Source organism: Homo sapiens, chromosome 18, assembly GCF_000001405.40.
Source record: "Homo sapiens chromosome 18, GRCh38.p14 Primary Assembly".
Taxonomy (NCBI): domain Eukaryota; kingdom Metazoa; phylum Chordata; class Mammalia; order Primates; family Hominidae; genus Homo; species Homo sapiens.
In genome coordinates, this window is record NC_000018.10 from 45068511 (window position 1) to 45095219 (window position 26709).

At 39.9% G+C, this 26709-nt stretch overlaps 1 long non-coding RNA gene across 1 annotated transcript in view; it reads right to left on the minus strand.

The window, feature by feature from the left end:
* The window catches only part of LOC105372091 (uncharacterized), an 87209-nt gene continuing 61265 nt past the window's right edge, over positions 766–26709 (minus strand). The window contains exon 4 of the long non-coding RNA XR_007066349.1: positions 766–882. This is a non-coding gene — a long non-coding RNA (uncharacterized LOC105372091). The remainder of the gene's footprint in view (positions 883–26709) is intronic.

The following is a 26709-nucleotide window of genomic DNA, read 5'->3' on the forward strand; positions in this document are numbered from 1 at the left end:
CATGAGTTGTGAATTCTTTTGTTTTATTTTCCATCTGGTTTACATCACTAAGGAGTTTAATAGCATTTGGGGGTCTTTGCTCACACCAACTGGATACAGAATCATTGAGAAAATTTTAACAACCGTCTCTCTTTTGTATGATACTGGGAAGTACATTCTGGGTAAGAGTTGAGTCTGATTTACTGGGTTACTGTTCACAGAGTATTGCACTAACTGGCCACCAAGCCAGGGCTGATTCATAGAACCAGTTAGGCCTCTGCTGAAAGCAATCAAAGGGTACTGTAGGATATTGAAGACCCACCCTGTCCTAAATTTTTAGAAGAGCATTACAGATAGGGATTAAGCTTTCTTACTAAATATCCCATGATGTCAGACATCTGAAGGAAGGATCCCTGGCTGCACTTAAGGTTTTACTGGAGTGACAGGAGGGGCTACTTAATAAATGACAGACAGTTACTGATTACCTACCCAGTGCCTATGCTGAGCGTCCTTGCTCTAAAGGGACTTACTAGGCCTCCATTTGAAAAATGAAACTAGCAATTTGAAGCTGAATATGGCCAGCTGTGAAAGAGTGATGGGGTCTCAAAAGGAGTCTTTACTGCTTTCCTGCCTGTTTTTTCTACCCATTCTGTTCCACTTTTTAGTTTGTATTTATAAGTGGGTTTTAAAAGCCTGTCTTAAGCACTTTGCACATTATACTTTAATTGTATGTGAACATACAGGCATTTATATATTTTTTGCCTTCTTTCTTTGTCTTACCTTTGGACGTGCGTCTTCCAAAAGCCAACAAGATAGTCAGGAAATGTTATGAGCTGCTCCCCACTCCTAGCCATCAATCTGACCCAGCATAACATCCACTGTGACTTTCGGTATTTGCAGCACCTGCAGTAGAATTATAGACGTCAATGGAAGTCTTCAGGAGTAGAGTATTAGGGAGCCGTTGCAGGAGGAGTGAAGCACTCCTACCTCAGCTCGTCTCCTGAGACTCAGAGAATTTGGTCAGCCACCTCTAGTAGAATAGGACTTGCCTTCTTTCTCCTCTCCTCCTCCCACTATCTTGCACTGAACTAGGACAATTTAAAGCATTCTATAGTCATCATTCTAACTTGGGCTCATTAATTCCATTGATACTTCTGAAATCAGCAATGACTTCTGAGAGTGGCCCTAATCTCTTCCTACAAGCTTCTCATGCAGGGACAAAGCTGTTGCCTAGGAATGGATTGGCTCAACTCTAAAGTTTTTAAACAGTCCATAGCGGAGCAATGTGCTGACAAAGATTCTCAGGAAAGTTGGATGTATCCACACATGTGGCTGGTGCAAATCTCAGTCTACAAATTGATGGATGGGAGGAATATATACTTTTTAATTTTTCTCCAGCTCAATATTTATTAATTTGTAAGGCTCCATTCCACCAACATATAGCAGAATCTTACTTGCAGAGCCAGGGAATCATTTTTCTAATCCAAAGGGGAAGGAAGGAGGGATCCTGGAAAGCCTGGCTCCAACTTTCTTCCAAATTGTTTCTCTGTGCCCAATTCCTTTCTATTTCCCAAGTTTCTAGACATTTGAAGCCAGAAAGAAAGTATTTTTCATGTTTTCCCTGCTTTCTGCTGTCAGAAACATGCCCTGAGGGGATAAGCACAAACCAACCTCGCTGCCTGTACTGGGAAGAGGCAACTACTAGAATAGTGAGGATGCTGGAAATCAATTGCCACGTGGAAAAATTTAACCTGTCACACATGCAATAGGGAGTGAGGACAATGGGATGCTCAGGGCTAAAGGATTTGCCCACAGTCATAAAAAGACTCTTTACAGGTCAGATGAAATAACAAATGGCTATGAAAGGGAGTGGGTAGGTGCAAAACAGTGGTGTGTGCATTTCCATTCCTTATTACTAACATTTTCACTTTTATGGAAATGCCAACACCCAGTTTTAAATCATTATAAAGCATGGTAATGCACTTTTCTAAAGTGTCATAAGGGCTTTCATTTTGGATTAATTAAAGAAAAAACTAGTTCCAAAGTGTTACATTCACATATGGGAAGATTGGGAAGTAACAAATGATAAGTGTTAAAACCTCAAAAGAGTTGGAAACTACATCCTCTCATTATAAAAAGCTTGATATTTTAAAGCTTAATTCTCTACTTTTTAGGGGACCGAGCACTGGAATAAGGGTCAAGTGACATGGAATATGTTCCTGCTTGGTCACTAAAGACTCTGTATCCAAGAGCAAAAGTTCTTTGAGTCTCATCTGCCTACTTTATAAGATGGGAGGTTAAACTCTCAATGGTGTCTCCAAGGTTCTTCAAGTCAAAAATCTCTGATTCTGTCATCTTTGTACCTTCCCAACAGAACCTATCTTTGATTTCCAACTTTATTCCCACCATTGTGTAAAGCCAGCAATACAATGTGGTAGTATGAAAGAAGTTAATGAAAAAAATATAATGATGACATACAGTTAAATCTTTCCTTCCTTCTTCCCTCCCTTCATTCCTTTCTCCCTTCTTTCCTTCCCTGCTTGCACATTGCCAGGTACCAAAGATGGAAGAATGAGCAAGAAAGACAAGACCTCGTTGAATTTTATTCAAGCAAACATTCCTAGATAATGAATATTCTCTATACGTTCTCTGCCTATCCAAATTCTACCTACTTTTAAGGTTTAATTCCAACTTCACCTTCTCCAGGAAATCTTACGGCCACAGTCCAGAAACACCTCTTTATCTCCTGTACCACTCATTTGGTAACTGCCCTTAATAATTCCACATATGACAGAGTATAATTGTCAACCAGGGCTGTCATATAAGGTTGCACCAATTGCTCCCTGCACAAGGGGACTTGGCTGAAAAAATTAGGGCTAAAATCCAGCCTGTACTTATCTTGCCAAGATCTGCTCCCTTGGTGTGGTGCCCACCCTGAGTGGGCATCTTTTTCTCATTTTCACAAAATTTCTTTTGTGAGAACAAAACCCTTTAAAAAAAATTCAAGATCTACTGTGTGTCTTTGTAAAGCAGAATAAACTCCTAGCAGAATGGTATCTGCCTCTCCTTCCCACTCAAACTGTCCATGCTGCCCTTGCCTCAAGACCTCAATAGCCACTCACAAATCCAGGAAATCCTACCACCACCATTATAGTCAGCAATACTCCATACTCTAGAAGACTCCAGAATCCATTTCCAAACTTAACAATTGCCCCAGCTGTCTGCCAGGAGAAGTGGGAAGAAAATAATGACACCGGAAAACAGCCCTGCACAAATGAGTCAGCTAGGTTCAATGGCACATCCTAGTGAGTACAGTTTACTAAGATGCTGGCATCTGACATCTCACAAAGTCTTCAATTTTTCAAAGACTTTTAAAATTTTTATTTTTACATAATTACAGAGTCACAGGAGGTTGCTAAAGAATATACTGAGTCCTATGCAAGTGTCTCCCAACTCTCCGCATCCCATGCCAATGTCCCACACAACCACAGTACAATATAAAAATCAAAACATTGATATTGGCACAATCCATAGAGCTTATTCAGATTTCACCAGATGTACATGATTTCATTTATGTGTGTGTATTTGTGAGTGTGGTTGTATGTGTAGAGATCTGTGCAATTTTGTCACATGTATAGTCTTGTGAAACAGCCACCACAGTCAAGATATTCAATTGCACCGTAGCCGCAGAGCTTTCACTGTGGCAACCTCCCTTTGAGTTCCCCTCATCATCCTTAACCCCTAGCAACCACGAATGCCTGCTCTATCTCTACAATTTTGTTATTTCAAGATCATACATACTGCATAATGGAATCATGCAATATGTATCCTTTTAAAAATAAAGTCTATTTTTAGAAAAGTTTTAGATTTAGAAAAAGTTATGAAGATAGTACAGAAAGTTCCCATGAACCCTGCACCTAGTTTCCCTTAGTATTAACTTCGTACAATAGTATGGTACGTTTGTTTGTTACAATTAATGAAACAATATCATTACATCATTATTAATAATGTCCACACTATATTCAGATGCCCTTAGTTTTTAGCCAATGTCCTTTTTTAGTTTCCACCCAGGATACCATATTTTATTTAATCCTCATGCCTCCTTAGGCTTCTCTCGGCTATATCAGTTTTTCAGACTTTCCATATTTGTGATGTCCTTGACAGTTTTGAGGAACACTGGTCAGATATTTTGTTGAATATCCCACCATTGGGTTTGCCTGATGATTTTCTCGCGATTAGAATGGGGTCATATGCTTTGGGGAGGAAGACCACAAAGGTGTGATTGTCCTCACTTCCTATCAGGGGTACCTACTATCAATATGATGCATCATTGTTGATGTTAACCTTGATCACCTGGCTGAGGTAGTATCTGCTCAGTTTATCCACTGTAAAGTTACTCTTCTTTTCTCTTTTTTCTTTTTTTTAAGAGATGGGGTATTACTCTGTTGCCCAGGGTAGAGGACAGTGGTACAATCATAGCTCACTGCAGCCTCAAACTCCTGTGCTCAAGTGATGCTTCTGCCTCAGCCTCCCAAGTAGCTGGGATTACAGGTGTGCACCAACACACCTGGCTAATTTTTTTTAGTTTTTGTAGAAAGAGGAGCAGGCTGTTCTACAACAGGAGCCCAGAATGGTCTTGAATTTCTGGCCTCAAGCAATCCTCCCACTTCGGCCTCCCAAATCACTGAGACTACAGGTATGTGCCACTGCACCCGGCCCTCTCCATTTTGAAACTGTATTCTTTGGAAGGAAGTCACTTTATGGAGCCCACACTTAAGAAATGTGGAGTTATGCACCACCTCCTCAAGGTCTGCATTTATACATAAATTATTTGGAATTCTTATGCACAGGAGATTTGGGTTTTTAACACTTTTGATTTTGAAATAATTTTAGACTTACAGAGAAGATGCAAAAACAGTACAGAATTCTATTTAATGCCTCACCCAGCTTCCTCTGATGTTAACATCTTATATAACCATAGTACAATGATCAAAACTAAGAAATTAACTGCGGTACAATACTATTAGCCTCACTGCAGACTGCATTTCACCAGTTTTTCCAATTATGCCATTTTGAAAACATTTGGAGAAATATTAAGTTGTAGTAAAATACACATAACATAAAATTTATCATCTTAACCATTTTAGTGTATAGTTCAGTAGTGTTAATTATATTCACTGGAGATTGTGTAACCAATCTCCAGAACTTTTTCATCTTGCAAAACTGAAACTCTATACCCATGAAACAACTCCCCATTTCCCCATCTCCCCAGCCCCTGGAAACCACAATTTTCTCCTTCTGTCTCCATGAGTTTGACTACTCTGGATACCTCAGATAAGTAGAATCATATAGTATTTGTCCTTTAGGAGGCTTGTCTCTTATCCTTCATTTATTCATTTACTTGATGATTTATTTATATTGGTATAGACTCATGGACACCTGTTTTATATTTTGGGTTATATTCCAACACTATTTTGTTGCTCAACTTAGTAAAGATATGGCCATTGAAAGCTTTTTCTGTGGATTCCTGGGTCCCTTTGACATACTCCCATCATTACGGTGGGGTTTTTAGTTTTATTTGTTTTGTTTTACTTTCTCATACCAAAGGAGCATCATTTTGTGTGTATGCTGGGACAGTCCTAGAATTAGTCATTTCTCTAAGAGCTCTGATTCTTTTTATGGGAGAAGGGTGTTAGAAACCAAGTTCTGAGTGCCAGGTATGCTTGTTCCTACTAGAGTATTATTGCTTCTAGGCCCTCTCAGCTGACACAGCAAGGAAATACATGTGTGTATACTACCTCATGTATATTCACCACAGATCTATGAATATTTCTATATGTGTTCATTTCTATATGTATTCATTTAGACTCATGTTATAAACATGAGTCTAAACTGCTACCTCTAACTCTAATCTATTACCCCATGGATCATTCTAACCTCCTCCCTTTGCTTAGCTATACTCTCCCACTTGATAATGAAAAACGCAAATCTTACCATCTGCCATTTATTTACTTAAGTAAGTATTTAATTCCAGTATAGCAGTATCAGAACAGTTGACACATATCTATCCTTTTCTTACTTAGCATAATTTCTTGAGGTTCCCCAAGTTGTTGTGGGTACCCATAGTTGGTTTCTTTTTATTATTGAGTAGTATTCCATACCATGGCAGTACCAGGGTTTGTTTGACTCTTCATTCATTCAAGGACATTTGGGCAGTATTGATTTTGGAGCTCTTTTAAATAAAGCTCCTATGAACATTCATATACAAGGACTTATGGGAAAATAAAATTTTATTTCCTTGGAAAATTTCCCCTAACTGTAATTTCTGGGCTATATGTTAAGTCCATTTTTAGTTTTGAAGGGAACTGCCAAACTATTCTCCAGGGTAGTTATACCATCTTACATTCCTACCAGCAGTGTATGAATGATCCAACTTCTCTGCATCCTCATCAGTATTTGATGTTAATACTATTTTTTATCTTAATCATTCTGATAGATATGTAGTTGCCTTAGTCCATTCAGGTGGCTATTACAAAATAGCACAAACTGGATGATTTATAAATAACATTCATTTCTCACAGTTCTCGGGCCTGGTAAGTCCAAGATCAAGACACTAGCTGATTCATTGTCTGGTAAAGGCCTCACTTTCCGGTTCATGGATGGCGCCTTCTTGCTGTATCCTCATGTGGTGGAAGGGGGAAATAGGCCTCCTTTATAAGAACACTCATTCTATTCATAAGACCTCCAACCTTATGACCTAATCTCTTCCCAAAAGGCCCCACCTCCTAACACCATCATCTTGGGGGTTAGGATTTTTACATATAAATTTACAGGGGAAACACAACCATTTGGACCATAGTAGTAGTAATAACTCATGTAGTTTAAATTTGCATTTCTATAATGGCCAATGATGATGAAGAAGTTATCATGCAGTTTTTTTCTTTAATTGTTTTGTTTTTTGCCATTAGCACAACCTCTACAGTGAAATGTTTTGGCATATATTTCACTCATTTTCTAATAGGATTGTTTGATTTTGAAACACTGCTTTTGATAATTTTTTATATATGCTAAATATAAAGCTTTTGTTGTACATGTGACTTGCAAATTTTTTTTCAGTCTGTAATTTGTCTTTCTATTTACACTTTAAGTCAAAAAGTACCCCTGAAACGTTGACGTTACTCACATTTTAGTGTGAGAGACAGAACAGGGTTATCAAGATAAAGTGAATTGTTTTTGAAATACACACCTATAAAGGGCATAGCTGGGACTAGAACTCAGTACATTCATAGTCAAATACTTTTCTACAATGCAAAGTAATCTTGGTAACATCTCATATGGTCATTCGTTACCTTTTCGTGATGCCAAAGAGCTTTTCAATTAATAACACACTGTGATTTTGGAAGGAACCTTAGAAAGCTTATAGCTGAAGTCCCTCAGTTTATAATGGAAAAAACTGAAGCACAAGGACATAAAGTGAACCTGCACTACTCACATGGCTTATCAATTATCAGTGGCTCCCAGGCTGGAGTCTGAGGCCTGGACTCCCCCATCTGATTCTTTCCCTACTCTACCACATTTCTCAGTATTCCCCAAATCCCACAATGTCCAGCATGCCCGTGTCCTGAGAGGTTAGGGAAGGAAAACAATAATGAGTTAGGAGGTCAGAAAGGAGCTCTTTACCTTGGAGAGGGTGAAGGAAAGTGAAGAAGTGCAGCAGAAAGCAAATGGCACCAAAAGAAGTGATATGGGCATGTGGTCACCAAGGAGAATCTTAGAGATTTCTTCAGTAAGAATGCAAGGGGACTGCCAATGCCTTGTGAATGTCATCACTGTACCCCAAGACAGATTTGTTATTTATTTCCCTGAAATATCTGTGACAATCATAATAGAGCCTGTATTTTCAGGCCTAATAGTTTACTATCACCTTGACTCAAACTTCTAAAATATACTTATTCCTCAGTTCAGCAATTTATGTCCATGCTTCCATACTTTCCGTTGTACCCTTTATCACCACCACCATCTCTCTCTCACCTTCCCACACACATCCAGGCAAACACACATCTAGATCCAGGCTGAGGTAGAGTAGGGATGACACAAAGCTAGGGAAAAGGCTTTGCTTCTCATTCTGCCAGAGCCAAAGCCTTTGGCTTAGGAAGCTATAAGGTTCTGCCCAGGGGGACCAGGGAAATGTGCATGTTTAGAAATAATCACAAAGCCCTCAAGGGCTCTCTGAACTCTCTGCATCTTTGGGGACATATTTTATTTTAAAATCCTTACATTGTAAAATAAAATATCAATGTACAAACCATACAAAATGTGGTTTTATGAATTATAAGGTAAACCTTTAATAAGCACCACTCAAGTCAAGAAATAGAACGTATCAAACTACCCCAGAAGCCCCTCCATGTACCTCATCGTATCCCAGCCCAGCCCTCCCTTCAAAGGTAGGCTCTCTCGTTACTTGCTTTCATGTGTTTTTTATGATCATGGTTTTATCATCCAAGTGAATTCCTGGACATCAATGGTTAGTCTTGCTCACTTTTAAAATGTGTTATGTCTTTTAAGTCTCTGAATCTACGTCTCCCCGACATTCCTTACTTTTCCTGATATGTACCTGTTGAAGAACATAGACTATTTGACCTGTAGGGTTGCCCCAGTGTAGATACTGCTGAATGCATACTCAAGATGCAGTTCAATATGCTCCCTCTTCTGTCCTCAGAATTCCTTGAAAATTGCCTGGATCTAGAGATAGAATCAAACGCAGGGTTGATCCCTTTAGCACGATTATAGGTGGCATTGTGTTCTTACATCAAGTAGTACATATGTCTGGTTCTTTCTCTGTGACGTTCACAGCCATTGATGTTTTAATGCCTAGGTCTATTAATTTATGAGAGATTGCAAAGTGATGATGTTTTAACATTATTATGTTTTCATTAATTGGTATGCTTTTATAAAGAGATGCTTCCCCTTGTCAACTCTTTGATTACCTCTTGGTACAACTCACAGGAAGAGCAGGATAAATATTTGATTCTTTCTTTAATTTTCAAGATCATATATTCCCTGTGGTCCTCCAAAGATGACCAACTAGAATTTTCATTTTAATCTCATCTTGAACTCATGGGCTTAGCCATGTTTGCAGGGTTTCAATCATTGTAATTACTGTCATTATTGAAGCTTAAATTCGTCCATGTGTGGCACATTGGAGTCTATTCAAGTTGGTTCCTAAGTCGTTTTTCCATAATCCCAGCTGTTTTTTATAATCTGGTAAGCTTTGGTGACTTCTTGGATATATGATGTTACAAGACACTCTAAGCTCATCTTATGATTTTTCTGTTAGACCTGAAATGAGCCATCTTTTCAAGAATACTTATTTCATTTTTTAACTGGGAAATGGTATTTCAAGACCACAATTTGGACCCTAGGAATGGATGGATAGATAGATAGATAGATGATAGATAGATAGATAGATAGATAGATAGATAGATGATGATAGATAGATACATAGAAATATAATCTGAAATAAATTTGAATTATAAATATCAGTATGAATGTGTGTATGTGTATATTCATACTGATATTTCTAATTCAAATTTATTTTAAATTTTTGTACTTCAATTGTAAAAGTTTTAACTAAAACTTACATCTGTATCTTCTAAAAGAATCAAAAGAAAAACATATTATTTTTGGTTCATTTACTCCACATCATATACACAAGATATAAACAACCGTAATTTAAAAACAACCATAAAAAAGTGAAACAGCCATAATACAATTATCAATATGATTACTAAAAACATAGAAAAATAGCATATGTTTTCCGCCTTTTCCCATTTTTATAGTTGTTCTGTATCTACATTTTCAGAACATAATGAGCATATCTATCTGCTCCCTTTCAACACACATTTAATCTTAGTTCTAAAAGTAACTATTTAGTGCTCACAACCAGACTTATGTCAATGCTTCAAGTCATGTTGGTTGCCTGAAACTCATGCTCAAGCAAATCCCTAAGAAAACGCTCATTGGAATAAAGCTTCCTGAGTTCTTGCATGTTAATAAGAGTTGTACCCTTTATACTTGAAAGTCCATTGGTTGAATATAAAATCCTTGGCACACAACTTCTTTCCTTAAGTATTTTAAATAGGTTCCTCCATTCTCATTTGGCATGAAATGCTGCTTTTGAAAAACCTAATTATAATCTAATTTTCTTTCCCTTATGTCACTTGTTCTTTCTGTTTAGATACACAAAGTATATTTTCTTTTTTCTTAAAATCCAATAGTTTTACTAGAATATATTTTGGTTTGGTTAATGGTCTCTTTAGATAACTGATTCAATATTTGTTAAGGAACATTTTCCTGAATCAAGTATTTTAGTATTTATTCCCTTTTCTTGTGTTGATTTTCTTCTTCAGGGATTTCTGTTACCTTTAGGGATCTTCTTCGTGTGGCTTCAATTTTAGTCACTGTTAAGAATCTTAAGTTCTTTTCACCCTTTCCCCCACATTTGTTTTTAATTTTAAAAATTCTCCTCCATTCAACCTTCTATTTCTCTTCAGGTATTTTCTGTTGAGTTTATTCACTCTTGTATTCCTACTGGTTTCATCTTCATCTTTGACATTATATTTTTATATACAGTTGACCCTTGAACAGCATGAACTTGAACTGTGCCAGTTTACTTATATGCAGATGTTTTTCAATAAGTGTATTGGAAACTTTTTTGGAGATTTGTGACAATTTGCAAAAACTGACAGGTGAACCAAGTAGCCTAGAGATATCAAAAAAGACAAAAATATATATTATGAATGCATAAAACATATGCAGATACTAGTCTATTTTATCACTTGCTATCATAAAATATACACGAATCCATTATAAGAAGTTAAAACTCATCAAATCTTATGCACACTTATAGACCATACACAACACTATTCACAGTCAAGGGAAATATAAACAAATGTAAAGATGCAGCATGAAATCATAACTGCATAAAATTGACTATAGTACAGGATAGCCTACTATAATAATTTCATAGTCACCTCCTATTGCTATTGTAGTGAGCCCAAGTTTTGCAAGTATCCACTTAAAATGTCGTATGACACTAATCATCACCGTATGAACAGTTCATCGCTCCAGTAAATTGCATATCGCAGTAAAAAGTTATCTCTCACAGCCCTACTCCTTAGGATCCTCAACGTGAAGATGATGAAGATAAAGGACTTTATGATGATTCACTTCCACTCAGTGAATAGTAAATAGATTTTTTCTTCCCTACAATTTTCTTAGTAATATTTTTTCTCTAACTTTATCATAAGAATACAGTATATAATACGTATGACATACAAAATACGTGTTAATTGTTTATATTATTGGTAAGGCTTCCAGTCAACAGTAGGCTATTACTAGTTAAGTTGAAGGGGGAGTCAAAAGTTATACACAGATTTTTGACCGTGAGGCTCTCGGCACCCCAACCCCGATGTTGTTCAAGGGCCAACTGCATTTTCAATTTCTCCTGTCTTCTGTCACTTTATTTCTGAGTTTTCCTAATTATAAATTATGCTATTATTTCATGTCTCTTATTATTTTCATATATCTTTTGCCTCATTTTGAAACAGTGAATTAGAATTTTGATTTGTGGGCATAAGTTATTGATATGTTTTTAATTCTGTCTCTTTTTCTCTTTTCTTTTTTTTTTTTATTTTTAATTTTTTTTTTTATTATACTCTAAGTTTTAGGGTACATGTGCACATTGTGCAGGTTAGTTACATATGTATACATGTGCCATGCTGGTGCGCTGCACCCACTAACGTGTCATCTAGCATTAGGTATATCTCCCAATGCTATCCCTCCCCCCTCCCCCGACCCCACCACAGTCCCCAGAGTGTGATATTCCCCTTCCTGTGTCCATGTGATCTCATTGTTCAATTCCCACCTATGAGTGAGAATATGCGGTGTTTGGTTTTTTGTTCTTGCGATAGTTTACTGAGAATGATGGTTTCCAATTTCATCCATGTCCCTACAAAGGACATGAACTCATCATTTTTTATGGCTGCATAGTATTCCATGGTGTATATGTGCCACATTTTCTTAATCCAGTCTATCATTGTTGGACATTTGGGTTGGTTCCAAGTCTTTGCTATTGTGAATAGTGCCGCAATAAACATACGTGTGCATGTGTCTTTATAGCAGCATGATTTATACTCATTTGGGTATATACCCATTAATGGGATGGCTGGGTCAAATGGTATTTCTAGTTCTAGATCCCTGAGGAATCGCCACACTGACTTCCACAATGGTTGAACTAGTTTACAGTCCCACCAACAGTGTAAAAGTGTTCCTATTTCTCCACATCCTCTCCAGCACCTGTTGTTTCCTGACTTTTTAATGATTGCCATTCTAACTGGTGTGAGATGATATCTCATAGTGGTTTTGATTTGCATTTCTCTGATGGCCAGTGATGATGAGCATTTCTTCATGTGTTTTTTGGCTGCATAAATGTCTTCTTTTGAGAAGTGTCTGTTCATGTCCTTCGCCCACTTTTTGATGGGGTTGTTTGTTTTTTTCTTGTAAATTTGTTTGAGTTCATTGTAGATTCTGGATATTAGCCCTTTGTCTTTTCCTTTTAATAACTTTTATAGGATTTAGAAGTTGATACTTTTCTGTTTCTAATTTTTATTTGAAATTAGTTTTCCTAAACTTTTAGAAAGAGACAGTGTCCAAGATAGTTTTTCTAATTTTGCAGCACTCCATCTTCTGTCGTTTCCCTGTGGTGTGAAAAATGTTGGTTTGCTTTCTAGGATTTCTTGGCTCTGTTTCCCTCACCCACTTTTATTTGAACCTTCTCTTTCCATCCTTTCTATGGTTCCTAACTTCTCTTATGTCATTTTAAATGACATGAGGATTTGACTATTAAGCATATTCTCAAGGCTTGACCATGTGCTACATGCTGGTAGATGTTAAGACGGCCTAGAGCCCATCTCTGATCACAAGTTAAGGGTCTTTCCAAGTTTAATTGTAGATATGCCACACAAAATAAATGGGCCAGACTACCCACATTGGCAGAGTTAAGGAGAGAAAAATAATATATCTAGATGTAGATAGGAACTGAGTTTGACCTTAAAGAGTAGATATGGACTGCCTGAAAAAGTAAAGAATGTAGGCAGACAGGTCTACAGATGGCCCTGGCCAATCCAGCTCTCCTTCCTCCAGCTCTTATTTCTCAGAATAACTGTAGAACGTTCTAAGAATGTGACATCCTGAAATAAAGAGGAAGTGTCCAGGGCAACACAGTCTCTGCCCTCATCCCTCGTAAAACAGGATGCTCTGCAACACTTGGGCTCAGCAAACCAAGAGACACCCGGGGTATAAAACCCAAGAGCAGAGTGCTTTCTGGGGCCCTCAGCTGCAGTGAAACATACAGCATGTGCAGACAGAACTCCATTCGCCTGGGGCAACTTGCCAGAGCCTGGAGTCTGGCTCCCCAGGGATCCTAGGCTTCTATTTGTTCTTATCTGTGAGTGAAAAATTTGTTTTGCTTCACGTGTGGTGTGACTGTTCTGTCTCACTGAGCTTGAGAACCTTTGCAAAGGTGAGGCATTCCCTGGCATGTGCCAAAAATGCAGGGAAGTGGGTGGGGTGGGGGATGAAAATACAAGCAAATATGTGGTTAAGGTTTATGCACAGGAGCGGACATGGTGGCTCACGCCTGTAATCCTAGCACCTTGGGAGGCTGAGGCGGGCAGATCACTTGAGGCCAGGAGTTCGAGACCAGCCTGGCCAACATGGTGAAACCTCATCTCTATTAAAAACACAGAAATTAGCCGGGTGTGGTGGCGGGTGCCTGTAATCCCAGCTACATGGGAGGCTAAGGTGCGAGAATCTCTTGAACCCAGGAGGTGGAGGTTGTGATGAGCCAAGATGGAACCACTCACTGCACTACCCCAGCCTGGGTGACAGAGACTCTTTCTCAAAAAAAAAAAAAAAAAAAGAGTCATCCACACAGAATTATGGAACAGAGAGGAGACACGATTGGCTAGTGAGGTAAAGTGCCACAGAAGGAAGAAGGAGAGGGGTCAATGGGGAATGTAAGTGAATAAATAGAAGGGGATCATAATGTTAAAAAGAAAGAAAATTGGGCTGAAATTGCTTAGCATTTATGATACATTTTAAAAACAATAAACCAGGATTCAAAATTCTAGAGAGATTGGTTTGTGGTTTATGGGCCAAGTCTTCTATTTTGATTATGTGCTCCCTTTTATACCTAGTACCTTGCACATACAATGCTCTGAAATTTGCTGATTCTACACAACAGGAAATTACTGTAGGTATACTCCAAAAAAAAAAAGTCTTTGTGAACCAATATAAATACACTGATCATAAAACAGGTGCTGGCCCTCAAGGAAAATATAGTCAATGATGTCTAAGACAGTTGAGATAAAGAATTCACAAATCAGCGTGGCTGTGAATGACCATTAGTATGGCTTAACGTAAAAAAAAAGTACACCTTTTAAACATATGTTTAAGAAATGTTATTTTCAAGAATCACTAAATATGTGAAGCAAGCAAAGAGCAAACGAGTTTAAACTCAGATAGAAGTAGATGTCAGCACTTAATAAATGATATTTTTTCCCCTCTTTCTCTCCTCTCTTTTTCCGACATGAATGTGATACTGTTCCTACCAGACCAGAGGCTGATAAACATCGGCCCCTGGGCCAAATCCAGCCTGCTATTTTGTGTGGCCCACAAGCCAATGGTTTTTATATTTTCAAGTGGTTGGGGGAAAAAAATCAGAAGAAGAATAATATTTTTATGTCACATGAAAGTTACATGAAATTCAAATTTCAGTGTCCATCAGTAAAGCTTTATTTGAACACGGGCTTACTTATTCATTTACATATTATCTGCAGCTGCATTTGTGACATGACAGACTTGAATAGTTGCACAAGAGATCGTATAGCCCAGAAAGCCTGAAACATTTACTATCTGGCCCTTTGCACAAAAAGGGTGCTGACCTGTAGACTAACACAAATCATGGGTCCCTAGAAAGTTGAAACACAGATTATATTAACGTAATTCAGCTCATTATGAAATTTGCCTTGCAGCATTTTACTCAGCTCCTGAGAGGAAACAATATAACCTTCCAACTCAGTCACTTTTCTTCCAAGCCAGGACACCATTCTTCGGCATCCCTCAATCATGCGGGCTTCTCGTTCCTTGCATAAGCTGGTATTTATTTAGACTGGTCTCACTAACCCCTTAATGTTTCAATTGTGTCCAGGCTTCCAGTCCCGTGAAAGCCTCCTGGCCTCTAGAATCCCACCCTAACCTGTGTTCTGCCAGATGGAAGCAGTTGCCCTTCTGCCCCGCTGGAGCATTTAGGCTGTGAGGTCAGATCATCTAGCCCTGATTAATAATGAACTGTTTCTCATTGCTGTCAGCTGTGTTGAGTGTCTGCTGAAGTCTGAGGGGAGCACCTCCAAGGAAAGAGCCTCTGCTGAGCACTTTTTTCTGTCCCTCCTACCTAGGGCCACCATGCCCATTAGTACATGATCAACATGCATTTGTTGATTGATTCGTTGATGGACTGATGGAGCAGCTGGGCTACTGGAGGAGCAGCCTGGGGTAAAGGAGGAGCGATCAGAAAGGCCTTTATGTGGGCTGTGCCTCAGAAAGTGTCTATTAGTTTTGTGCTCTTTCTCCTTCATGCCCCTTCTGGGTTCACTGGATTTGAATGGCGTTTGAGAAGGGGAGAAGGTGGCGCAAGTGAACCAAAGCAACTTAACTCCATCTGCCTTCGATTCCAAGGCTGAGAAAACATTTCCAGAAGGCCTGGTGCATAAGAACCTGATGTGGTGACAGGATGTTCTGTCTTCCTCTTGTTACACAAGCAAGCGCGCTGAGTCTCGGCAGGCTCATAAATCCTGAGGGCCTTTTCCAGCAGCCCCGTTCGGGTCGCCTACCCCCATTCCAGGAAAGGGACGCTTTGAAACCCTCATCACAAGAGAACATTGTGTCTTTGAACATCCGGCGCCACTGGGGTTTGACTTCTCCCAGCGCAGGTAGGATGGGCCAGCCAGTGAGGTCAGATGTGATTTATGCTTCTAAAGCTCTTGCCTTTCAGAATTTTGGAAGAAAATACAAGCTGCCCAATACTGCACAGTGCTATGTTTGAGTGAACTGAAATATGTATTATAAATTCATGGCTTGAATTTTCCAGAAGGAGACCCAGAGATGTGTGGCCCAGGGATTAACACAGAGTGGCTGCTTGCAGAGTGGAATTGGGATGAAACCAGGGCCCAGGAGGGGGCCAGGTCAGACCTGAGGAATTTGTAGCAAGTCACTGGCAAGTGACTCCCCAGCCAGCCCACTTTGAAGGCTCTTCCGTAACTACCAGAGGAAGGAAAGTCTGGGGCCCGGCATAGAGGAAGAGGGAAGGAAGAGGAAAGAGAGAAGTGGGGACACTCGTAAGCCAGACACCTAGCCCAGGCCCCTTCACACACTCCCACACCCACAGCAATGGTATCTTGGTACTGCCCCCTTTTCTGCTTCTTTTCTCATCAATATTTGTGGTGTTTCTGGCCACACATCGAGTATTTGATGTTTGGCGACACATTTTTAAAGCACACACAAAAAACACATTATGCCAGCAAGGTACCGAGTTCTGGTTTGGCGAAGCATTTAAAACACACACACACAAACATTGTGCCAGCAAGGGGCTGAACTGCAGGTCCTCTGGTGTGAGACCTTAGGCAAGAATTATGTTCAGTTCCTTCTTCTATAAAATGAGAGACCATAGTATCTACCTCCTGGTGTTACCTTGAGAGTTAAGTCAGACACTGTCTTTGAAAGTACTTTATTCACTGCTATTCAAGCAGAAAACATTACTAAGAAGCCTGGGGTACTAAGTATGTGGCTACAGATACACCTACTATGACTATGGCCACTAGCCCTGCAACTATTACCAGATATGCCAATCAAAGGGACGGACGACAAGGTGAAGAATCTAGAAACCACATCATATCTCAGAGGAATGGCTGAATAACCCAGCTGGCACTGGACTGTAGAAACATCTCAGTGGGAAAATAACTATCTTCAAGGATGCAAAGGTTTGTCATGTGGAGTAGCAGGTGGCTTTGTCCCGAGTGCCTCCAATAAAAACTCAAGACCACAGATCAGGATTAGAATTAGAATTGTTCACTGGCAAGTAAACAAAAACTATTTTATTACAGGACAAGGAGAACTTGCTCTTAATATAATTGTCAAACAGTGCAAAATACCATCATAGGACAGACACAGTGAAGACATTGTCTTAGGAAATGCCAAAGGAGAGAGATGAACATCTATACAGACGGACTTCAGTCATTCAGTCATTGATTTACTTCTATAACAATGTCTATTGATGGCCTTCTGAATCTCAGGCAGTTCTTTGTAGGTACTGAGAACACCACAGTGAACAAAACCGATTCTTGCACTCACAGATGGTCCATTACATAGGGCCCTGGATGGGAGGGCGATGCTGCATCACTATAGCCATTTTTTTTATCACCTCTATCATTTCTCTTTTAGAACACTACAGTTTCACAGGTATATGATTAAATGGGAAGAAGGGAACAATTGACTCATATCCTGTTTTTTTTTTTTTTTTTTTTGGCCTTGTACATTGATTCTCCCTCCAACCTGGCAGAGAATGGCCCTGGCAGTATGGAACGAGTAGTGAAACAATCCTCCAATTCCCAAGGAACCCCTTCTTCTTACTCAATGGCTCTCCCTTGGTGAAAATGGCTTGCCCTCCCCCAGTGAGTTTCAGGTAATGACTATTCTGAGAGCTGGACTTCCAGGACAGCCTTCCAAGGAGAGTCCTTGAAAGACAAAGAGCCCTAAGCCCCCAAGACATCTAGGAAGCTCCTGCAAGGGGAACAGCAGGGTTCCTGCACACAGACACAGGTGACTGCAAACAGGATGATGTAACCCTACTCTGCCTAAAATACATCTTCTCTTGCCCTGAAGATAGTCTGCAATTCTCCCAGGCAACGTCTCTTAAAATGCAAACATTCCTGACAGGAGTCCTCCTTATTGCTCAAATCCAAGCTCGGTAATTCCTGAAGGTTCACCCTCCTAAAACTTCACCTGGCTCTTTCTCCTCCCCTGCACCACAACTGCCTTGCCACCTCTTGCCCAATGTGTTCTAACAACCTCTCGCCAGTCCTCTTACCTCCTGCTAAAACTCATGCCTGTCTGAGCAGCAAATCTTTGTAACACTGGAGCTCCTCAAAAGCCTGCCACTTTCTGACTAACCTTCAGTGGCTCACTGCTGCCGACAGCACAGTCTTCAAGAGGGAGTATACACGCCCCAGGACTCTGGGAAGGAAATACTAGAACTTCTCTGAATGTGTTTTCCTAAAAAGTAAGAAAAGTTAATCTTTACTGATAGAGCTAACATATAGATCAGGGCAGGTGAGGTCTTTACAAGAAAAGGAGGTAGCACATACCAGAAGATGGCCCCCTCTAGGCATCTATTGGCATTAGGAGCCTGAGACATACTGCACTTAAGTGGATTTGAGGTTATACTATTTGAACTATTTAAACCAGCCTCCACACATAAATAACTGGTTTAAACAATTTGCTGCTTCAAAAACTCTTGCTAGTTGAAGAGATGAGGAAACGTATGAGTAAACAACAAGATAAAATAGAATCGTCATTTCCCCAGGTCTTATCCCACTATATGACCTTCATCAGCTCCAGTACAAAGTAATAACAATAACCTAAACAATAACAATAGCCTAAGTAACAAGAACCTAAAGACATCTGATAAGGAGGCTAAAACACGTTTTAAGTCCTTGAGAACTCTGTTCCAAACGCGTGTTTACGTCTACCACGATTAACACTAGACTACTCCTTCAGATCATATCCTGAGCATATGAACTGCCTTGAAACATAATCTAATAATCATATGATAATTAACAAGACATTTAAAACCTTGGGAGTCACCATTTCATAAAAGAAAAAGATAAATAATAATATGTATCTATTTATATATATGCATTTGCTTTATTTGCATAAATAAATATTAGAAAGGGTTTATTTATATAAATAGATATTAAAAGCTAATAAAAGTTGTTCACTGTGTGGGCAAAGAGGATGAATGGATGGGGCTGGGGTGAGAGAGACTTCTCATTTCATACCTTCTGAAATCACAGTGACTTTGGAACAATATGACTCTATTAACTATTCAAAACATTAAGTGAAAAAAACAGCTTTGACAACACCATGTCGAACTACGAATCTGTAGCAAAATTTAGTGTCATATAATAATCCAATTATTTGCAAAATGTCACTAAAATTAATAACAATGTATAGAATCCCTGTTTCTATTTTCTTAAAAATATGAATTCAATGGAACATGTATAAAATTTAGAAATACCTAAAGATCGATATATTTGAGATGCCTACTCAAAATTGTTTTACAGACAATTGTGTGCAGACGAAAATATTTGGTAATGACTGGCCTGGAAGATTAAGTCCAAACTCTCAAGGCTGTTCTTCTAGACACCTTCTTAGCTTCCATTCCTTCCCTTTCCACACTCTATGCTTCCGCCACGTTTTGGCCACTGCCCTGCCAGAGACTGAATATACAAATGGACAATGGTCAGACCATATATGAAAAGAGAAAACTTGGCCGGGTGCGGTGGCTCACACCTGTAACCCGAGCACTTTGGGAGGCCAAGACAGGTGGATCACCTGAGGTCAGAAGTTTGAGACCAGCCTGGCCAACGTGGTGAAACTCTGCCTCTACTAAAAATACAAAAAAATTAGCCATGCATGGTGGTGAGCACCTGTAATCCCACCTACTCGGAAGGCTGAGGCAGGGAGAATTGCTTGAACCCAGGAGGCAGAGATAGCAGTGAGCTGAGACTGGGCCGCTGCACTCCAGCCTGGGCAACAGAGCGAGATGCCATCTCAAAAAAAAAAAAAAAAAAAAGAAAAGAAAAAAGGGAAAACTTTAACCCATGACCAGCAGTAACCTGCCCGGAAACCAACCCCTTGTTGACAACCCAGGAAAAACACACCTAGTCTAAGACTTATGGGAAGCCAGATCACTGTCTCTAGTGACAACTTGGGATGCTAAACAATACAACTTCTGTAACAATCAGTCCAAAATGGCCAGGACTCTATTAATAACTGACTTTTCCCTAATTTTTGACCCTTCTTCCAACTTAGGAGCAACCAGTAAAAGCCAAATATGCCCTTCTAACCAATCACATGCCAAATATTCAATGTACCCATCTATTCACCTCTTCATCTGTTTTAATTTTTTCTCCCTTTCTCCTTCCCTCTCTTCATCTTCTCCCTCCCTTCCTATCTTCTTTCGTTCCTCCTTTCCTTCCTTCCTTATTTTTCCCCTTCCTTCCCTTCTTCCTTTCTTCCTTTCTCCATATTTCTTTGTTTCTTCCTGCTTTTCTATTAGGACTACAAGAAGAAAGAGAACAGCCCCATTGAGAAGAGAAGCAGGAATCTAACATTAGGAGATCATTTCCTCAAGTGCACAAAGCTCAGTTCCTAAATGAAACCCTGAACTTCAGGGGCCACCAATAGATGGGATGATGGCCTGAGATAAGCAGAGAGTGTGGAGTTCGCAATTTTACAAAAGAGCTAAATATAATAGTAATTGATGGAAGCAGTTAGATCAAAATAAATTATTTCCTAGGCAGTTTCAAAATCAGAAAATGCTTAAAATGCAAACCACAAAATGAAGACAACCTCAAAGGTTAATGAAAACCTGCAACAATAGACAAAGGAAATGAAGAATTGCAATACAGCCTCCTCCCAAATCTATTAAGCAGTCATACCAACATCCTTCCAAATGGGGAATGCTATCCCGCTCCATTTATTCTGCCTTGGAACTGCTGAAATAAGGACAAGATGTTAAGATAAAATGCCTCAGTGGCTTCTCTCTCCACCAGACCAAGAATAAAGACACTAGTCCCTTCAAACATTGCTGAGACAGCACTGGCTTATGCAGCATTGCCTAGTAGGTGTCCCATGAGAATTTGCAGAATGAATTAAGAGTCCATGGGTCTAGCCAGTTAAAAAGGGCAGGGAAGAACTAGGGAGGATAGCGGTAAAGAAACTGTATGGTAGATCTAATGCAGAGCCAAAAATACTTGTCCAGGGAAGGAACTCAAACAAAGTCAAAAAGTCTAAACTCATAGAAGTCACTATAAAAGTTAAAAGGTAGATACAGGGAGGCTGAAAAAGTAAAATTGGGTAATAGGTTCTGGGTTGACAGAAGGGAATTTAGTGCTATGGAGAGTACAAATTCAAGATCCAGAAATTTAGGCGTATGCTCAAGTCTGAAAAATAGAAGAATATTCAGCCGTGGGAAGAGGACTGGAGACAAGTAGACATGGGCCCTGGGGCACATAGAGGGGTGAGTTGCCTCCAGATCTGTAGGATTTATATTTCATAGAATCTGGCCCTATTTTTGTCAGAATGTGTTCTTAAAACAGTACTATGTATTGTAGTCTGGCAATGAATGCCTGAAAATCAAGAATTCTGGCTTTATGCTAATGTCCTGTTCTGTACCCTTAGAGATGCCACTGAACTTCACTAACTACAGAAACAGAAAAAAACTAGTTCCTGAAAGATGAAATAGCCAGGCATAGGCAGGAGAGAAAAGCCACTGTACAGTTGTCAGGAGTTCTGGTTCAGAGCCTGGCTCCATAACCAATTTATGTGTGGCCTTGGACAACCATCTAGACTTTTTCTGTTTTAGTTTGCTCACCAAGAAGATAGGGATGAATTGCCTTATAACTTGCTCCTGTGTTTATGTGGGACCCAAGTGAGATCCTGCAGGTACATGTCCTTTGGAAACATAAAAGCACTATTCAGACATGTCCCTTATAATTATGAGTCAACAGTAGGACAACTAGGTTTGTAACTATTACTTAGGGCACCACCAAGCACTATCCTAAAATTGTTCAATTTCTTTCCAAGGAAAGACTGAATTTTGTTGGGTTGGGTTTGTTTTGTTTGCCTCCCTCAAATCTTTAAGTTACACCTGGGAAATTGGTGGTTGGCCTGATCCAGGCCTGCATTCTCCTTTCCTTTGCTTGGCATGGGATTTCAGGTGCTTTGATGTCAGATGCTCTGCTTGGCGACTCCAGCATGGGCAGCATTTTCCTTGTCTCGCAAGCTGTCAGGACAACAGGAAATTTTAGAGTTGGCATGAGAGTATAACCCAGCCACCCTGGACTCTGTTTCCTCCAAGAGATAAGCTTAGTTGACCGTGAAGACAAATGGAGGGTAATTCTGCGGAAAATCGCAGGGAATTGGCCCATTTGGGTGCCATGTAGTTGGGATCTTGTGCTCATTGGGTGAACTGATTTTCAATAAAAACATCACCTCTGTCTGTTCCTTTTTTGCTGACAGTACACAGGAGGTATGCTGAGCCGGGAGAAATTGGTTGCAAAGTTTATCCTGCGGTCTCCCTGACACTCAGTCACATAAACATCCACTGGCAGGAGCAGCCTCTAGTCAGGGAAGCTCAACTGCAGTATGATTATAAGTTAACCAAGAGTAAAAATGGCCAAGAGAACAACATTGGACCCCCAAGCCCATGAACCTTCCTTTTATGCCTTTGCTCTCTTCTGCCTCTAAACGTTGTTTTCTCCCCTTATGGTTCCTCAAAATTTGCTTTCCTGAGAGTTTGATATTATTAATGAAGCCTTAGAGTGACATGCAAAGCAATGAGCCAAACATTGAATCGAATGACTTGGGTTTAGTCTTTAGTCTTCCACTGTGCACTGGAGTGACTTCATTGCCATCTGTAAGCCCAACTGCCTCCAGTGTCAGCCAAGCAAGGGATAATATAACCAGAACTTCTCTCTTATTTCATGCAAGTGTGAGAGTCAGACAAAACTAACAACGGAAGGACACTTTGAAAAATGGAAAGTTACAGTACTTTTGATATATTTTTATTAGTAGCAATATTTGTATTAGGAGTAGCCATAGGAGTAGCATTAGTAGTAGCAGTCTTCTTGATATCAGAAAGAACCAACTTCTTGCCAGTCTAACTCTGTATCAACTATTAACCTCATTACCATAATTACTATTTAATATGCATCTCTCATTTTATTTTTTCTATGGCATTCACCTAAGCATAACTAATGTCTGTCTATTCTCTTCCATGTCTCTCCCATCCAAACTTGCTCTTGGGAAAGGATTTGATCTCAGTCAACAAAACAAAAAGGGTAGACGTGGTAGAATAAAAATCCTAAACCTAAAGAGGAAAAAAGTGAAAAGGAAAGAAAGAGGGGCAAAGAAAGAGAAGGAAAGCATTCTCTAGGACTTAGAATCTCATGGAGAAAAAAAAGAAAGACTGTTTAAGATTTTGTTAGGGCCTCCCTCCTCCACTTCTCTAGGCCAGGAACAGTTTGACCAGTGGTCATTTTCTTAGCTGGCTTAGACTTCCTCAATATGGAGAAAGAAAGCGCTTATAAAAGTCCCAAGAGGATTTGAGTAAACGTGATCCTGCAATTCAGGGTAAAATCTTTGTGTTATTTTACACAATTAATTGCTTCCTCAACATTTGCTGTAAGATGCTATTTTAAGAGGTGAGTGAGCCACAGGAAGCACTGAGACTCCCTGTGCTGAATGGATGGACTGTGTCCTGGTGATCAAAATTCATTTCCGAGTTATTTCCTGAAATGGTATTTTGACACCTGGGTCATACGTTAGCTTTATGGAGTTCCTCTGTGACATGCAACGATGATGCAGATGTGTGATAGAACATTATTCACAGAGAGGTAACTTGGAAGTTCATTCCTGCTTGTGAAACTGAGTTAAGTATAGGGAAAGGTTTAAGAACTCAGATTTGCTTAAATGCAAAGTGCAAAAGATTAGTTTACTTTTTAGTTGGGATGACTTTCTCCTGTGGCATCGTTCCCAATCCAGTTGTCTGTAGCAGAGCCTTCACGAGGCTAAATCGTTCATTATAGGGCTCCACATATTAAGGGTAGAAGGATCCTGAGGGATCACCTTTTTCAGACTTCTGCTGCTGAAAAACTGCCATTGTTATCCCCAATTTCCTGATAAGCAAACTAAGGCACAATAGTGTAAGCGAGCCAGCCATAATCATGCAACTGACAAAGGCTGGGCGACAGGCTCCAACCCAGAGCTCTATCCCAGGTGGAAAGCAGCGTCTAACTTTTATCCATAAGCATACTGGACTACTGTTGAGGGAACAGTGAAATATCCTTTACCCCGGGCTTGAGAAAGATGTAGAAAAAGGTCAATCAGCTGGTGGGTTTTGTATCATAACTGTTGGTGTTTTCTCCTCCCTCATTGAGCCAACCTCATGAGTTGGCAAAATAGGAAGCTATCAACAGGGTATGAATACCTTCTCAGCCCGACAGGGCCTCCAACCCCTGAAATACCTTTACCAGAGTCAACACCTTTCTTTCTTCAGTAAGTGCTAGGCCTGGAAATGCAGATCTTCATGTGGTAGCATGCTACCATGATTAAGAGAACAGCTTTCATATTTAGAAACATCCAGGATCAACTGGCTTGTCACCTACTAGCTGTGTACCCTACAACAATTATTACAAACTGTAATCTAGTTTACTTCTTTGTTAAACAGTAGTACATCACCTATCATGTGGGGCTGGTAATTGGTTAAATGAGATTGTGAGATCCTGGCACATCAAGTGAATTCACCAGTTCCATTCTGCCAAGATGGAGAAATTGGGCAGTCTTTGGTTTCCTCTCCCAGATCAACTCTTGAAAAACTGTAGGAGCAAGAGGTTAATATGGATTTCAGGAAATAATAAGAACCGCAAGTGAAGAATATCTGGGAGACTAACGTAGAGAGGTATGTGGTTACAGGGTGCAGCTAGAGGTAAAATTGAAGAAAAAGGTTCAGTTCAGCACTATTCACAATAGCAAAGCATGGAATCAACCTGATGTCCATCCATGACAGATTGAATAAAGAAAATGTGGCACATATGCACCATGGAATACTATGTAGCCATAAAAAAAGAACGAGATCATGTCTTTTGCAGGAGCATGGATGAAGCTGGAGGCCATTATCCTCAGCAAACTAATGCAGTGACAGAAAACCAAATACTGCATATTCTCACTTATAAGTAGGAGCTAAATAATGAGAACACATGGGAACAAAGAGGGAAACAACAGACACTAAGGCTTACTTGAGGGTAGAGGGTTGGAGGAGAGAGATGATTAGAAAAAATAACTATTGGGTACTAGGCTTAGTACCTGGGTAATAAAATAATCTGTTCAACAAGCCCTCATGACATAAGTTTACCTATATAACAAACCCGCACATGTACCCTGAATCTAAAATAAAAGTTTTTTTTTTTTTAAAAGATTACATTTAGCTCTTGCCTGTTCCAGCAGTAACATTCCTTTGGGACAATCATTGCCTGAATTTTATACCGTAAGTCTGCAGCAAGAACCCAGACCACCAGGGCAGGTCAAAAGCTTTACTGGGTGAGAAACTGAAAAATAGGTACAAGAGGCCAGGTACGGTGGCTCAGGCCTGTAATCCCAGCACTTTGGAAGGCCGAGGTGGGCGGATCACCTGAGGTCAGGAGTTCAAGACCAGCCTGGCCAACATGGTGAAATCCCGTCTCTACTAAACATACAAAAAATTAGCCAGCATGGTGGCAGGCACCTGTAATCATCCCAGCTACTTGTGGGGCTGAGGCAGGAGAATTGTTTGAACCTGGGAGGCAGAGGTTGCAGTGAGCCGAGATCACACCACTGCACTCTATCTAGCCTCACCAACAAGAGCAAAACTTTGTCTCAGAAAAAAAAAAAAAGGGGTATAAGGGTCTGGTTGTCCTCTGGCATGGCATTCATTGCCACCTCAGCTCTCTTCCCCACAGACTGCCAGCTGTTGTATTAGTTTTCTATTGCTGCCATAACAAATTACCACAAACTTAGCAATCAGTCCTGTGTGGAGAAAGTCTGGGTACAATGTGGCTCAGTCGGATTCTCTGTTTAGTCTCACAAGGCTGAAATTAAAGTGTCAGAAAGGCTGTGTTTTAAGGCCCTGGGAATAAATCCGATTCCAAGTTCATTCAGATCATTGGCCAAATCCAGATCCTTGCAATTTGGTGACTGAGGTCCCTGTTTCCTTGGTGGCTGTCATCCAGGGGCCAATCTTTTCTCTTAGAACCTGCCTGCATTTCTTATGCTTTCCATGCGGCCTCTTTCAGTAACAGTGAGTGAAGTTCCTCTCACACTTCAAATTTCAGAAACATCTTTTCTCTGTTGTACCTGTCTGACTTTAACCAGAGAAAGTTCACTGCTTTAAGGACTCATGTGATTAGATTGTTCTCACTGGGAGAATCCAGGCGCCTCTCCTATTCAAAGGCTCAAAACCTTACGTGCACCTGCAGAGAGTTCCTTTTGCCATGTAACATGACATATTCACAGGATTCCAGGGATTTCAGTGTGGACACCCTTGGGGAACTCACTCTGGCCTGTCACAGCTGGCATGCTTATAGGACTATTTTATCAACACTAAAGACCTGTTTCATCACCTGCTCCTTCCAATCCTTTCACCTGCAGTCTAGATTCTTCTTCTCCTGCCCTCATCCATCAATTATTTTCTCTTTTGCATATATTTATAAACTGTTTCCCTAGGGATCCTTACTCAAAGACTGTAAACATCTACTGGTTTCTCTCCAGCTCTTAAAACCCTCTGTCAGTCCT